The sequence below is a fragment of the Homo sapiens genome, chromosome 14 (assembly GCF_000001405.40).
Source record: "Homo sapiens chromosome 14, GRCh38.p14 Primary Assembly".
Taxonomy (NCBI): domain Eukaryota; kingdom Metazoa; phylum Chordata; class Mammalia; order Primates; family Hominidae; genus Homo; species Homo sapiens.
Genome location: NC_000014.9, coordinates 86905574 through 86923498, shown reverse-complemented (window position 1 = coordinate 86923498; position 17925 = coordinate 86905574). Strand labels below are relative to the sequence as shown.

Below are 17925 nucleotides of genomic sequence, written 5' to 3'. Positions count from 1 at the left end.
TCTGACAGGAGGTGGAGCTCAGGCGGTAATGCGAGTGATGGGGAGCAGCTGTAAACACAGGTGAAGCTTTACTTGCTCTCCCACCACACACCTACTGCTGTGCATTCCAGTTCCTAACAGGCCATGGACCAGTACTAGTCCGTGGCCTGAGGGTTGGGGACCCCTAACTAAATATACAAATTAGAAATGAGATAAACACTCAAATTGATAATCTAAGCTCCCACACTAAGAATCCAAGAAAATAAGAGAAAATTAAACCTAAAACAAACAGACGAAATAAAATAATAGAGACGAGAGCAGAAATAAATTGAAAACAGAATAAAATAGAGAATAATTAATGAAATAAATGGCTTCTTCTCTGAAAAGAATAATACAATTGACAATGATTGACAAAAAAAAAGAGAGAGAAAACACAAATTACCAATATCAGAATGGAACAAGCAATAAGTCTACAGATCATGTAGACACCAAAAGGAAAATAATGGAATACTACAAACAATTTTACATGTATAATTTTAACAAGTTGGATTAAATGGACCAATTCCATTAAAAAATACTATCATAACTCATTAAAAACAAAATAGATAATTTGGATAGCTGTGTAACTATGAAGGAAATTAAATTTGTAATTTAAGAATTCTCCTTACCAAGAACTCTCCACACCTCCAAGGATTTCTACCAATTATTTAAAAAAATTAACACAAATTCTACAAGTATCTTTCAGAGAATTAAAGACAAACAAACACTTCACAATTTATTTAAGAAGCTGGCATTACTCTGATACTTAAAAACCAAAACGAAACAAAATCTACAGAAAAATATCCCTATTATACATAGAAACAAAATCCTTAATGAAATATTAACAAAAACAATTCAACTATAACAATTCAAATTCAATTCAAATAACTCACTATATTTGATTATACACTGTAACCAAATAAAGTTTATTACAAGAATGCAAGGCTGGTACAATATTCAAAGATCAATGTAATCTAACATATTAACAAGTTAAAGAAAAATCACATGATAATATCAGTCAAGAAAAAGTATTTGACAAAATTTAACATCCATTCATTATATATATTCCAAGAAACATAGAGACAGAGGAGGACTTTCTTAACTTGATAAAGAGCATATAGAAACAATAACAAGAAAAGCTAAAAAAGAAAGAAAGAAAGAAAGAAAAAGACAGAAAGACTGTCTTGGGTAAACAGAAGAAACAAAGTAAAGACATCTGCTGGAAGTTTTGGCAAGTATGATAGATGAAGGAGATGAATGCTTATGTATTAGAAAGGTAGGAATAGAACTGTTTCTATTTGCAAATGGTATGATTGTCTCTGTAGAAAATCTCAAGAAATCTACAAAGGGACTCTCAGAACTAAAAAGTGACTTCAATAAGGTCACAGGATACAAGATAAACATAAAAAAATTGTTTTTTTACATATTAGCAAAGAATATATGAGAAACAATTAGAAATGCAATATCATTTCAGAATTACTCAAAAAATTAAATGTTTAGGTTCAAATGTAACAAAACAGATACAGAATTTATATAACAAAAACTACAATGTTTTTATTGAAGAAGAAATGTTGAGGAAATCAAAGAAGGCTTAAATAAATGGAAAGATACACCATGTTCCAGATTTGGTCTCAAGAGGTGTAAATATATCAGTTCTTCCTGAATTGTTACACAAGTTTAATGTAATTTCCATCAAAATTAGATGAAGATTATATTATAAAATTATATATAATAAGGTTATATATATAGACATATACAATTATGTATACATATATACACATATATATGTATGTATCTCACACATACAAGATGATTATGGAAAGGCAAAGTAAAAGCCAACAGCCTGGGCATCATGGAAAAACCCCGTCTCTACTAAAAATACAAAAATTGGTGCATGCCTGTAGTTCCAGCTACTGGGGAGGCTGAGGTAGGAGAATCACCTGAACCCAGAAGGCAGAGGTTGCAGTGAGCCAATATCATGCCAGTGCACTCCAGCTTGGGTGACAGAGTGAGATCCTGTTCCAGAAAGAGGAAAATAGCCAAAGCAAATTTTTAAAATAAAAAAAGTGGAAGGAATCAGTCTACTTGACTTCAAGACTTACTATTTAGCTACAGTAATAAAGACTGGTGATACTGGTGGAGAAACAGACATAGACATCAAAGAAACAGAATACAGCACCCAGAAAGAGACCCACATAAATATACCCAACTGATCTTTGACAAAGATCCCAAAGCAATTCAATGGAGTAACAGCAGCTTTTCAACAAATGATGCTGGAGCAGTGAGATGTTCACAAGCAAAAAAAGAATGTTAATCTGTCTCACCTCTTATTCAAAAATTAACTCAAAATAGATCACATATTTAAAAGTACAACAAAACTATAAAACTTTTAGAAAAAATATAGGAGAAAATCTTCAGCATTTTAGGCTGGCAAAGGGATCTTAAGCTTGATACCAAAAGCACACTTCAGAAAGAAATAAACTGATACACTGGAATTTACCAAAATTAAAACTTTTGCTCCGTTAAAAGTGTGAAAACCCAGACTAATCACTGAGACAAAGTTTTGAAAATCACAAATCTAACAAAAGAATAAAGTCGACAATATAAAAAGAATTCTCAAAACTCAATAGTAATAAAAAATCCAATTAGAAAATGGAAAAAAAAGTAAATGAAGAACCATCCTATTCAAGAGGACATACAGATGATATATAAGCTCATCAATAAATACTCAGTATCATAAGCCAGGTGCAGTGGCTTATGCCTGTAATCCCAGCACTTTGGGAGGCCAAGGCGGGTGGATCACTTGAGGCCAGGAACTCAAGACTAGCCTGGCCAACATGGTGAAACCCCACATCTAGTAAAAATAAAAATTAGCCAGGTGTGGTGATGTGTGCCTGTGGTCCCAAAAAGAATTGCTTGAACCCGGGAGCAGAGGTTGCAGTGAGCCCAGATTACATCACTGCACTCCAGCCTCAACGACAGAGAGAGAGACCGTCTCAAAAAAAAAAAAAAAGAAAATTCAATACTATTAGCCAGTAGGAAAATGCACATTGAAACTACAGTGAGTTGTTAATACACAGCTATCAAATTGCTTTTTAAAGAAAGATGGTAACATGAGATGATAGTGAGTACGCAGAGAAACTTACCACTTGTATATTGCTGGTGGAAACGTAAAATGGTACAAATACTCTGGAGAACAGTTTGGCAGTTTCTTGAAAAACTAAACATGGAACATCATAGAACTTAGCAATTGCATTATTGAGCATTTATGAATATTTATCTTTACACAATATCTTGTACACAAATGATTATGGCAGTCTTATCCATACTAACTAAAACCTGGAACTAACCTAGGTTAGTAACTAACCTTCAATGAGCGAATGGTTAAACTAACTGTGGCACATCCATACTCAGTAATACTACTCAGTAATAAAACGAAATGAACTATTGATCCCCACAAAACCTGAATGAATCTCCAGTGAATTATGCTTAGTGAAAAAAGGCAAAAGAAATGGTTACATGCTGTTTAATTTCATTTATAATAGAACATTCTTGAAATTAAAAAATATATCAAAAATGGTGAACAAGGTAGTTAAGGGATGGGAGAGCAAAGATGGGAGGAAAATAGGTCTGGCTATAAAAGGGAAACAAGGAATCCTGGAGATGAAATGTTCTACATATTGACTGTATCAATGCCAGTAACCTGGTTTGGATATTGCAGTATAGTTTTGCAACATGTTGCCTTTGAGGGAAACTGAGTAAAGGGTATGCAGGATCTCTATGTATTATTTTTTATAAATGCATGTGAAATTCCAATTATCTCAAATTAAATGTTTAGTTTTAAAATAAGGGTAAAAAGAAGGGGAAAAGTAAGATTTCTTGTTTACTGGCTATTGTACTTGATTTTCATATGTGTGGATTACACATGAACAAAAATACTATGACAAATATTTGTGTTCACGTTTCTTAAGAATTCATGGTATTTGTTAGCTCTCCTTGTTGACTTACATTATTTTTATTACAATGTTAAATAAGTGCAAACATAGAAGAAGTGTCTAAACTCATTTACTTATAGCTTATACGAAGGTATAAAGTCAAAAGAATATATAAATTAAATGCTAACAAAACCAAACAATAAAATCCAAACTAACAGCATTAGTTTACTATGACAAATGATGTTATTTTGTTAACCCTAAATCAGCGATTACAATGTGAATATAGCTCTGATGGCCCTAATGCAATTTATTTTACTTTATTTTAGTGCACTCTTACTTCCATGCACTGCACGGTAATTCAGTTTTTCCACCATTTCTCTCATTTGCACCTAGCGTACAACCCCTCTTCATATAGTGTGTCTTAGTCTTACTTAATCTTGTTTCATGTTGAATTCATCATTAATGTATTATTTTTGCCTCTGTTTTCTTTTTCTTAAGCAAGCATGAATATTTGGGTAAGTAATTATTTTGTGCCAGCACTATCATAAATACATGTTTTAGCAGACTCTGAAATTATATAGAGGCCTTCAGACATCTGAGAAATCATATTTGGTCCTCTAGATTTCTGGACCTCCTATTTAGGAAACATTGTGCTTCAACTAACTCAAATGGACCTTACAAAATACTTGCAACTTTTAATTAGCTTCAGATTTTTCTATCTAGTCAAAAGATGATACAATTTTACTGCTAAAGAAAAAAGAGGGAAAAAAACACATAAAATGTGAGTCAGTAAAGCTCACTAAACTACATATATTATCAGCCAAAATGTGTAATGAATAAAGCATCATAAAACTCTAAAAAAAGAAAATCATTTACTTTGTTATACATGCCATATTTTCTTTCAATATTTATCTGTTTATATCACTGTAGGCTACAAAACTACTGAGAGAAAAGTGTGTTTCAAAGCTGAAATAAATATCATTCTATGTAATTTAAGAATATAAAATAAAGATTCTCCTGAACCTTCTATGTCTTGTTGCAGGGGATTCAATTATGAAGTAATTATTTTGATGTACACAAAGTTTGAAAGAAGTTTCTTCTCTATACTTAGAAGTTTTCTCCAATGGAAGTTAGAAAAACTACAATTTTATTGTACTAGGCTACAATATGTTGAGTTAATAGAAATTTCTCACATTTGTTTTAATCTTTGGCAGGAATCTTCTGGAAATCTGTACAGGCTAATATTGTTAAGTATAATTGTAGGCCATTGCAGTGAAATGGTAAATAACAGCAGCTGCATTTGAGTTTTTGTCTTTTGTGATTTTTCTTATTTATTAGTTTTATTATGCAGTTTTCTTGTATAAAAAGACACTTAAATAATGTTCACTGCAAATAAGAAAGAAAACAGCTATTCATGAAAAATAAAGACTTCATAATTTGTCCCTTGATACTAAGAACGGGGTATCTTAAACACATCTCTATCTAAATTTACTTGCTGGACATTCACATTTATGCCACATAGCATTGTCATTTTAGAGTAGAAGTATGTTTTTTCCATTTACTGTGTATTTTTATTTTTATTTTTCCTTCTCCTTCCTCTTGTATTCCTTCTTTTTCTTTGGCAATTTGGTGTATTTTGTATTTTCACATGGGTAATTCTGAAAATGTTCACAATGTGTTTGAAAACCAATTCTGTGGGACCCAGTGACTAATTTTGGATACTACAACAGCAATTTGAGTAATTCTTATCATAAATTGGTGTACAGACTAAATTTCATTTTCATTGTAAATATTTAGAACACTAATATCAAGAAACATATTATTATAAAGAGAAGAAGATGGATATAAAAAAGGATATAAAAAAGCTTCGAGGCAAAGAGTAGCTAAGCATGCTTATAAACAAAATTAAATCAAATAGAAAACTGTATCATTCTCCTGATGAACAAAGTTGAACATGAAAAAAGAAGTTACAAAGCTGATATATGGGCCATAATGTATAATGCTTTTAAGACTTGGTAAGGAGATTTCATTTTATTCTAAATTACAATGTGAATCTATTTAAAGACAAATTAGTGACATATTGAAAATTCTTTTTTATTTCAGCAGCAAAAAAGTAGAAGGCAGTAAAAACTGGCAACATCCACTAGAAGACTACTGTAATAATCTGAGTAAGAAATGATGTTGACTTGAGCTAGAGTACTGGTAGAGGAGAAGAGAAGATATGAGTAGATTTAAAATATTTTCAAATATGTATGGAAATGTACATTAGTTACCACAGGTTGGATGTGGAAGGTATGAAACCAAGGATGATGATGGTGATGATGATGATAATGATGATGAATGATGAGGATGATAGATAGTTCTTATTGTGTATTTTCTGTAAGTAAATCACCATGCAAAACACTTAACCAAGTCACTAATTTAGTCCTTGCAATAACCTCAACATATAGGTTTTACTAGCATTATCTCCATTTTACAAGTGGCTATGGACTGTTTGTGTCCCCCTAAAAGGTTTATGCTGAAGCTCTAATATCCAATGTGAGAGAATTAGGAGGTGAAGCCTTTGGGAGGTGATTAGGTCATCAATGTAGAATTATCAAGAATGGAATAGTGCCCTTATAAGAATAGACACAGGAAAGGTACGTCTCTCCAGCACGTGAAGAAACAGCAAGGAGATAACCATCTGCAAACCAGAAAGTGGTCATATTAATGCCCTGCTCTGCAATTCCCAGCCTCCAGAACTGTGAGAAATAAATTTCTGTTAAGTCACCTGGTCTATGGCTTTTTCTTAAAGCAGCCTGAACTAAGAAACAAGTGATGAAAATGTGACACAGAGAGGTACAAAAAGTTGTCCAAGGTCACTTAGCATAATATTGCAGGGCCAAGATTTGAACAATAGAGACCATGTTCCTGGTCATTGTATCTTACTGATATGTAAGTTTTCTGGCTTGAACAACTAAGTGGATGGTAAAGTCATTTAGAATAAAGCAGAAATCAAGGAGTTAAGGTAAAGATGAAGTGTTGAATGAAGAGCCTAATTTTGAACATAAGTATGGCTTGAGATGCAGAGGAGAATTGGGATCTCAAGATAAGAATTGGGATCTCAAGATAATAATGTGTGATACCACATTCTTATGGGCATCACAGGATAGATATACAAACATAGCGATGGACAAACAGTCATTACTAAAATTGAAACACATGTTCGTTTAGAGGTAAGGTGTTTAAAAGAAAAAAGAACATTATGAAAAAGCTTAGATAGAAAGATCTGCAACATAGATGGAAAATTGAGACACAGATTCATCAGAAGGCCAAGGGAAGACTGTTTTAAAAAATAGGGATTGTTTAATAACATCGAATGCTGACACATAATAGGAGGATGCAGAAATACACAAGGAATTTGGCAACGTAACAGAAAAATGGAAGAAATACCCTGTAGCAACAGGGTCGAAGAGAGAATAGGAGGTGATCACATCGGGGCTTCCTTATTTCCTTCTAGTATAACTCTCTCCTGGTAGCAGATAAACCGGTGACCGTATGGACTAGGGGACCAGTAGAATTAAAGCAAATATTTTTACTTTTCATATGAAGATAGAAAAAATATGTATACTGATATGATAAAGAAAGAAGAGAACAGGCAGTGACAACTATACCAATTACTATTCATTCATCCTAAACACTGTGCTTTGCATTTTGACAGGTGACTCCAAAACATTCCAGCTCCAGTCCCCACATCAAGGCTGTGAGGTGAATATTATACTATTATGTTTTACAGATGGAAATCCTGAGATTGGGCTTGGATAATTCACAGGCCGATGGTCACTCAGCAAGTGAGGAATGGATGCATACTGATGATGTAAATGAATTCAGAACCAGTGTCAAACAATGGTAGGCCTCTCTCCACTTCTAATCTCTTCTTTGGCTTTCTATTTTCTCGCTGATTTGAAGAGGCTTCTATAGAATGCCAAATATTTGCTAACCACAAGTTTTCTGCCAAGTCAAAATTCCATTTGCTGCCAAACAAAAATCTGGCCCAGAGATAATAAACATGAAGATATATGATAGACTACAGCTTTTGAGTGACTGCTTTATAAAAATGCTGTGTATGTATAGCTAAACTAAATTTTCCAGATCTGGCCTCAATTGCACATGAGAAGTTCTTAATGTCCAGTCTGTTGAGTTCTGCTGGAATGAAAACCGTCTTTCTATTTTCTTCCCAACCTCTACATTCAGAGTTTTAGAATAAAAAGCTTCCTAAGTATAAGGAATGCCAATATCACTTTATGTGCCTGTATGCATAACACACACACACACACACACACACACACACACACAATCTTAAATAATTTTCATTCTTGACTGTTACCATGCGGCACACAGCTATTTTGAAAGGTTATTTTATAGAGCTGGCAAAGAAGAAATGATGAAACAAACAAAAATACTACTAATGTAATTTTTTATAAAAACAAAAAGCTTTTAAGGAATCCTCATTTTATTGGCTTTCAAAATTAAAAAGTTGTCTCTTTCCTAATTTTATAACTAGGCACTTTTTAATGCATTAGTCCATGACAAGAAAATTATACTTCTATTATTATATATATTTTTTAAAAAACCGTAGGATTCTTCCAGCCCTGTTTGCTTTCAATAAGCTAGTTTTGCTTTGTGTAATGCAGATTTTACGTGGCCCTACATAAATAACTGAGGGGAAAGGGGGCAAAGGATCCTTCTTTGTTTCTCTATTACATGAATCATCAGAAACAAGAGGAAGGGCATGAGTAGATTGCACATATACAGCTCTGCCTTTGTAGGCAGCTTTTGTAAGGTTCTATTTGAAGAAGTAAGAAATCCAGTGACAGAGGTACCTTTCAGATGCTGCTGCCTTGATGAAATGTCAAAGACACCATCTATTCTGGAAAGAAAGTAGATTTCTCATGGCGAAAATATCAAGATCAATTTCTATAGTGCCAAGTATGGTTGTGAGTCATTCTTACAGGAGCTGCTGAAGACATTCAAACCTTTGAAGGCAATTCACCGTTTACCCCCACTCTCCTCTTAGAGGCAGTGGGACTCTCACTTGATTTATATTAGAAGCCCAAAGGAGCCCAATCTTCCTCACTGAACAAATAAGAAATCAAACATGTTCACATTCTTGTGGGTTGAGGATAAACTTATACTTTAATATTGGATACCAATATTACTCACTGAACAAAATAATAAATTAAGTATTTTCACACTCTTGTGGGGTTGAGGATCAACTTATACCTTGATTCTGAGGTTTATTTTTATATTAAGGAAGTGTTTAAACTCAGATTTTTGGGAAGACCATAGAATAATCATGTTGATGGCTTAATATTATTAATAACAAAGAGATGTACTTCAACTGTACAGCTGTACACAGACCTTAATTTATTTATTCATCAAATCTGAAATGGTTCTCTTTCTTCAACACCCAAATTAAAGTAATGGGACCCAGCAGCAGTTGGATTTATTTATTATATATCTATATTCGACTATAAATTACCTCCAGAGTAGATTTAAGAAATCCTCTTGTCCGGGCACAGTGGCTCACACCTGTAATCCCAGCACTTTGGGAGGCCAAGGTGGGCAGATCACCTGAGGTCAGGAGTTCAAGACCAGCCTGGCCAACATGGTGAAACCCTGTCTCTACTAAAAATACAAAAAGTAGCTGGGCATAGTGGTGTGCACCTGCAATCCCAGTTACTTGTGAGGCTGAGGCAGGACAATTGCTTGAATCCAGGAAGCAGAGGTTGCAGTGGCCAAGATCGTGCCACTGCGCTACAGCCTGGGTGACAGAGTGAGACTCTGTCTCAAAAAAAAAAAAAAAAAAAGAAAAGAAAAAAAAGGAAAAGAAATTCTTGCTACTATAGACTTGTGGAAGAGTAGTTCAAATGACAAATTTAATTCTACAAATATCACTTCTTTGAATATTTAACCAGGAGATTATTTTGTATAGTTTAACACTTACCTGCCTTATCTGCATACAGTAATTGTTTCTTGTACATATTCCCTTCTATTTTCCATAAAGAGTGAGAGTTTCTGCAACTGTATTCTGAAAGTATTGACAGAGCTGTTGTTAATTAACTCATTTCTTTACCTTCTCCCTCTAAAATTATTGGTTTGTAGGGATATTTTAAAAAGCATAACAAAATCCTGCTGCCAGTGAATATTCAGCACTATAATTCATTTAATTCTTTAACTCACATTTTAATAGAATCTGTAATGACTTGTTGAGCAAAGAACTGGTGGATTTGGCTTGGAAAAAGCAATGACCCTCATTCTCTGCCTTGTCTTCTATCTGTTCATGCAAGTTTTATGACAAAGTGGAAGCCTGGTATATTTAATGTGCTCTCAAAGACATATTCTTTGTCCTTTTTTAGGTCTTTTCAAGATTTAATATTCCCTTTGTGTAGAAATTAAAGCTGGCTGAGATGAAGTAGAAGCAGAGCTATATCTCCAGAATTTTATATCCTACATAGAGTTCTAAAGGTACATTTAACAACTCCCCTTGTTCAAACCACACCAGTTTTTTAGCCTCCAAATGCATTTCTACTGGCTGCTGACAAGAAAGATGTTTGATGGGTTAGTTAACTCTCCTCCCATTTTCATTCCTTGTAAGTATGCAAAGCCCCTCAGGGTAAAAAAATACCTAAGACATTTACATGTGCATGATCATGACATAAAAAGTGATGAAACAGAGAAAAAGATTTTATTTCTTGGAAAAGTAAATGATTCAGTGCTAATACAGTTAGAAATGGTACATAACTTATTACAGATGTTTAAAATGCAAGCAATTCAAGAGGACATCTCTAAAAAAGAAACACTACAAGAATTTATCAGAATTTCATACTGTTTGATTTATTTTAACTGGGACTTACTATTTTGTTCTAATTATAAAAAGAAAACAAAATGAAATATTATTTGAACACACACACACACACACACACACACACACATCAAAACACCTATTTCTAGGTGGTAGAGATCATTTGTAATGAAGTTATTTAAATAAAACTGACTTGCTCCAAGCCCAGTGTAGGAAAAATGTTTAGGGACAATGATTTTGGCAGGAAAGTAAAACACACTTTGGTTTTGAGATGCATTCACCCATTCATACCACGAGAAAGCTGTCGGTAAATTGCCTCCTTGCAGGCAATAGACTTTTCTGCAGAGTGAAGTTTTAATGCTAATACACAGACAAGAACCCTCAGTAACTCCACTCTTTATAATATTTATGTCAGTAATGACATATTTTTGACAATTCCTTGAATTATATCTTAAATACATCTCAGGAACAAATTCCCAATGACCTTAGGATACAAATATTTATACGGTTCTCAGAAGAAATTTCTAACTTTGATTCATGTCGTGAAGCGTGACAATCAATACTCATATTCTCTGAGACTTCATGCTTCTGTCAAATGGGCAGTTAACTTTGTAGATCTGATGGTGAGTTTCAAATAAACTAGAATATGAAAGTGACAGACTGTAATCTGCATCCTTTAAAAGAATCTAACATATTAACAGGGCAAGCCCATGACCTCTGGTGCTCAGCCATGCCATCTCTTCATTCTAGTGAGGATTTGATGTCTACACAGTGTTCAATTTGTCTGTCTGTACTTGGTAGACAGAACCAGGTGCCAATTTGTTACACTTTCCGTGGGCTGGGTGATAGCAATCAACATCTTGGTTTGAATTTTAGTGGCTAAATCTTGCTTTGTAGATATTCTTACAAGCAATTTGTAAAAACCCATGCTACCATGGCAGAATCTATTTTCAAGGAGACAGGTGTTAAATGGACCTTTGTTTATTTGTCCACCAGAGCTTTTGTGCGCATGGCTTCCTTTCTGTCGAGAATGCCTCCCTGACACTCTTCCCCACCCGTCAAATTCTCCTCTACAAATTTCAAAATCCAGTGGAAAAAGTCACTTCTGAGAACCTTCCTTGACACTCCCAGGCAGTCAGCTGTTGCCTATCTTCTATGATTTCTCTTCTTTGCACACGCTTCTATTTTAGCACTAGCCATATTTGCCGAAATATAGGAGCAAGAGCAAATGCTTTGGCGTTAGAGAGAATTTGATCTGAATTCCATCTCACACATCTACTAGGCTGGCTGGCTGCTTTTCTGACCACATTTTTTTTAACCTCTCAGCCTCAGTTTTTTTCATTTTAAGATGGGAAAAATGAGATTTATCTCCATAGCATTATTTTGGTATTGGCTAGTTTTCTTTTTTAAAAAAATTATATTTGGGTCCACCACATTACTAAATATCCATTAGAAAACTGAACGCATCCTTCTTTTATCTCTTGTAGTCTCACTATATGACAAGCATTCTTCTAGTTGCTAGGAACATGCAGCAACTAAACCACCCAGAGCTCTTGATCTCCTGGTACTTTTTATTATTATTATTATTATTTTTTGAGATAGAGTTTCACTCTTGTTGCCTGGGCTGGAGTGCAATGGCACGATCTGGGCTCACCGCAACCTCTGACTCCTGGGTTCAAGTGATTCTCCTGCCTCAGCGTCCAGAGTAGCGGAGATTACAGGCATATGCCACCATGCTAGGCTAATTTGTATTTTCAGTAGAGACAGGGTTTCTCCATGTTGGTCAGGCTGGTCTTGAACTCCCGACCTCAGGTGATCCACCCACCTCGGCCTCCCAAAGTGCTGGGATTACAAGCGTAAGCCACCGCGTCTGGCCGACCTCCTGGTACTTTCATTTCAGACAATATTAGAGATAATTATTTAGCAAATAAATATGCACTATAGGTTAAAATGGTAAGTATGCTGAAGAAAATACCGTAGGCTAATAGGATGTAGAGAACTTTCAGTCATGAGTTTGAAGAACAATTGAATTCTAAGGTGGTAAAGCTGGCTTCCTTCATTTGATCTGAGACCTAAGGAACTAAAAGGCTATTGGAAAAATATGAAGAAATAACTTTTTCAGGAAGAGGGTAGAGCAAGTGCAAAGGTCCGGAGTGGGAAGGTCTTTGGAAGTGTTTGGGGAGTAGAGACAAAGCCAGTGAACTGCAGTCCAATAAGGTTGTGAAAGTGTGTTTAGAGGTGAAGCATTTTTAGAAGAAGGCAGGGGTCGGGCCATGGGGACCTTGCCTAAAGCAGGAGCCACTTAGGAACTTGAGCACAGAGTAGAATCCAGAGAGACACCAGACCTTGTTCCATTAACTTGTGAAATGTTCCACATTGTCAGGATTTGGTTTGTGAACTGAAAATTTTATCTTGCAATTCTAGTAGTGATCTATTGTTTTCTAAAGAGGAAACGGTTGGCAAAGAAGGAAACTCGCTCATCAATTGTCTTTGCTGTGGAGTTTATATTCACAGCACCATCCTGGTGGGATGCTCAGGCAGCGCTTAGGACTCAAAAGGAAGCCATGCGCAGAAAAGCTTGCCCACTAAGTGACCTTGTGCAAATAACTAGACCTCTCCAAATCTCAGTTCCTTCATTTGGAAGAGGGAAGTAATAATAGACTCCCGTAGTCACCCAATTTGGCTTAGCCATGATTATTTGTTTTTTATACCTGATAAAATTGTTATAAATGAAAGTGTGATTGTTTCCTGGCAGAAAAGGATAAATCATTCTTCTATTCTTCACTTAGGCATCACCTCTGATCCCAACTACCTCTTGGGCAATTCTATTACATTCTGCGCAAACACTTACCCTGGAGCTTATTATCATACTGTACTTGCCTATATGTGTATCATTTTCCTAGCCATTGCATAGCAAGACAGCTAACTCCATGTGATTAGGGACCTTCTTTTATTCATTATTGTATTTCCTGTATCTAAAACAGAATCTGGTTTGTATCACGCATATAATTATTATTTGTTAAATTGCCTCCTGAATGTGGAAAAAATGATTAAGCTTGCTTATTATCCCCTCACAAAACACAATTAGGGTTGATGTTGGAGGTGGTTAGATTTGGAATTAATATAGAGAAATTCATTCTCACCATCGAAGTTGTTCCCAGGTAAAATCAGTGGCCTCCATAGGGAGTGTGTGTTCAGGATTGTATCAGGTGACTGCTTGGCAGGGATATTCTAGAGATGATATGAGCATCACGTAGATATTTTGAGAGACTTTCTTATAGGTTGCTTCCAACCTTGGGATTCTTTAATTCAAGTCTTTTCATGGCAGCATGAACAAATTAAAGACTGGATTTAGAATATGGGAATAGCATGATATGTGAGAATGGCAAATTAATGCCATATTTCATGATTTACAAAGCAAAATTATTTCCTATAATTTTCTGCCATGTGATATCTTATAGTCTCTCAGAAAACTGTTTTGGATAACATTTCAAGCCTTCTCCCACTCAGTTTCTGGTGGTGTTCTCTGTGTGTGAGTACTTGGCAAAACTTGTTTAATAAGTGCTATATTTCAATTTGCCTGATAATAAATGAGTCAAAGAGGAGTACAGATAACTGCATTTCCATTGACCATTTTAGCAACAGAAAACAGCAAATGCCTATTGACTGACAGACAGTTACAGAGCAAGCCAATGACAAGATGATTGAAATATCTGCCTTTATCCTTCCAGCTCCTTGTTCCATCAAATAAATGAAACTATGCTTTATTGATGCTGTGTTTATATTTGGGAAAGCATGCATATGAACACTGCCTGATGTTGGATTTTGCAAATATTATTAGAAAATAACCAGCTGTGTTTGGACCTGATGAAGCTATTTATTATTTTAAATACTTGGAAGGAAGGAGGGATGCCCGTATGCTTTGTCTACGTGGTGTGATCTCACTAAAAGACATGATGTGTATATATCAAAACTCAGTAAAAGAGGGAAATTCCTTCAAGCTTCAAATGTTGACGAACCCTTTTGCTTATTTCTAATAGTATTCCATTCAGTTCACACAGCCTAAATTATTTCTGAAACATTACCTCAGCAGAGCTTGTTAATACATTCTTTTATGTCTGCCCGCCTTTTAAACACTCAGTTTACACTTACTTTTCCCTGGCTAACTTCATGCAGCAGATAGGCAAACTTTATCCTAAAAAGTAGTAAAATGAATCTCAATGTTTAAGCAATTAACTGATATACAAAGTATATTTATATAAGGCCATGTTTAAGACACTAAGGTATTACAGACATAATTTTCTTGTAATTAAAATTTCTTTCTTTCATTAGCTTACCTGGCTAGCACTACATATGAAAACTTATTTACAGAGAGGCAGCAAATTACATTCATTTTCTGCTCTTTTCTTTATTGCTGCTAACGCATTATATAGGGCCCAGGATACTGCTGTAGTTTAGCTTCCTGTCCCTGTTCTTAACTTTTTTTTCCTCATCACTTGCCATGTTTTATTGGTGAACAAGTATAACAAAATGTGGAATACACATTTCAGTTCTCTGAAGACATTTTCAAGATTTGTCTAATTACTCTCTTTCTTCATAATGGTAAATAAATTATTTATCTTACTGCAAAAGTTCATTTTAATGAGGCATTTAATAGAATATTTTCATAAGACCTGGACACAGTAGCTGTCACAAAAAATAACTGGATAGGAAATAGTGGAAACTAATCTTTCTTCTGCATTTATTTGCATTAAGTACTTACATAGGTGTTATTTAATCTTCAGAACAGCTCTAGGAAGAAGATGTTGTACATAACTTAACACATTAAGAAGAAAATTGAAGAAGTGAAGGAACTTGTCCAATCACATGCATCTAGCCAGTTTCAGCAGTGAGGTTTCTGTCTAGTTTGCTGTGCCTTAAAATGTTTGTGCTCCGTGGTACTTTATGCTGTTCTTTTCTTCTGTAGGAATTAGGGCTTAACCCATTTTTGACTGAGGCAGTTCAAGTTAAATGTGATATGGAGAAATTACCTCTACAGCCATATAAAAAACAGCAGGAAAAAATGCCATTTAGAGGAATCTTTATGGAAAAATGAGAAGCAAACTGCTCCTTTATGAAAGAGAACTTTAAAAATCAATTAAAATGAAAACTAACGCAATTAATTTCCTTTAGGACTTAAAAAAATCAGTGCTAAAGCTTGAAATAAATGGATTCTGTTAAAACCACTGGAAACTAGTTATTGATTCTGTTATTATTATTTATATTCATTGTTGGGATAAATAGAGATATGTCATTGATTATCACTGCCATGAAAACTGAGATTTGAATATACCACAAGAGTTCTCATCTCCTGATTTAAAAGAACTTTTCATATCTGTATCTTTTAAAATATTAAAAATAAATCTTCAATATTTTTGTTCATTTATAAAGCTACATCATAGGTTTTAAGAATATTAATACAAACAAAGGATTTCAATGAAAAATATGACGCATGAGGAAGTTTATTCGGAAAGATGACATTGAGTTTCTAGCCCTTTAATATACATAGGGTTAAACTATAAAAGCGCTGAGATAAATCTTTGCATGTGCTACAAGGTATAATAATTATGACTGGCTTAAACTATAGACTCATTTGATGTGATCAAGTGATGCCCACGTCTTATAATTGAGGGACATTATTTGCCAAAAACCCCTTCTCAACATGTGCTCCATAATGCACCTGAAGTACCTTCATTATCATAACATGACTTTATGTTTAGCATTACCCTCTTTTCTGGAGTCTTCTTTTAAAATGTTGATATTTCAACAATTAGATAACCTCCCTTCTTGACAGGATATTCCTGACCAATATAGGAAGAAAATAAATTATTTTGTTATGAAAGACAGAAGACAACAATAGCAAACTGCATACTCTACCACTGTATTTAGAATCAGTCTCAAATTTAGCTGGACTTCACATTCATGGATTCAGCTTTACAGGTTATGTAATATTTTGAGATATAAATTCACATTGGAAGACTTGTCATGAATAGACCAAGAATCCTTAATTCAAAGCATCATTTAGAAATGTTAATTTTTGTCAATCAATACTAAATAATCTTCTGGGGTTTCCCTCGGTGATATCCTAACACTCAGTGGATGTCATTTTTATTTTATTTTTAATATCAGTATCATCTATATTCCTCTTTTTTTGGTTCTATTCAACAAACTTTTACTGATCACCTACTATAAGCCAGGTTATCTCTAGATACTTGGATTACAAATATAGATATGTTGTTTCTTCCACCTTGAAGAATTTCAATTTTCTAAGAGGGGGCAATCAGGGGACACAAAATTACATAGACTTCCTAAATGACCATACTTTAAGAGTAAGAGGCACAAAACAAACCAACCAACCAACCACCACCAACAACAAAAAACAAAAACAAAAACAAACACCCATAATTTATAAAGGGTATAGTATTTGGGGAGGGGGTGAAATTGACACTAAAACTTTCTGTGTAAACGGAAAAATGTTGTTTTTAAAACTGTTTTAAAATAGTTTCTGTCTCTTTAGAGGTCGATTTATCTTGGGCAAGCAATAAATACTTTTGCTCTCAGAAAACCGCCAAAACTTATTTTCTTATTAGCTGAGTAGAAAACAAGTACTCACCATTGTGGCTATGGAAGACATAAGCAGGCCAAAGGCATCATTCACCTAAGTAGAGACGAGGTGACAGCGTGCTGTCAGTCCTCACAGCCCTCGCTCCCTCTTGGCGCCTCCTCGGCCTTGGCGCCCACTCTGGCCACGCTTGAGGAGCCCTTCAGCCCGCCGCTGCACTGTGGGAGCCCCTTCCTGGGATGGCCGAGACCGGAGCCGGCTCCCTCAGCCTGCAGGGAGGTGTGGAGGGAGAGGCACGGGCGGGAACCGGGGCTGCGTGCTGCGCTTGCGGGCCAGCTAGAGTTCCGGGTGGGCGTGGGCTTGGCGGGCCGCGCACTCGGAGCGGCCAGCCGGCCCTGCCGGCCCCTGGTAGTGAGGGGCTTAGCATCCTGGCCAGCAGCTGTGGAGGGTGCGCCGGTTCCCCCAGCAATGCTGGCCCACCGGCGCTGCGCTCGATTTCTCGCTGGGCCTTAGCTGCTCCCCCGCGG

General features: G+C 35.4%; 1 long non-coding RNA gene across 1 annotated transcript; it reads right to left on the bottom strand.

Moving 5' to 3' along the window:
* Nucleotides 1–743: 743 nt before the first annotated feature.
* LINC01148 (long intergenic non-protein coding RNA 1148) lies at nucleotides 744–17721 on the bottom strand. The gene is made up of 5 exons (NR_038445.1): nucleotides 17450–17721; nucleotides 9940–10023; nucleotides 8816–8857; nucleotides 3165–3238; nucleotides 744–2034 (listed from the first exon to the last, which is right to left on the bottom strand). It is a non-coding gene; the product is annotated as a long intergenic non-protein coding RNA 1148 (long non-coding RNA).
* Between the last annotated feature and the right edge of the window lie 204 nt (nucleotides 17722–17925).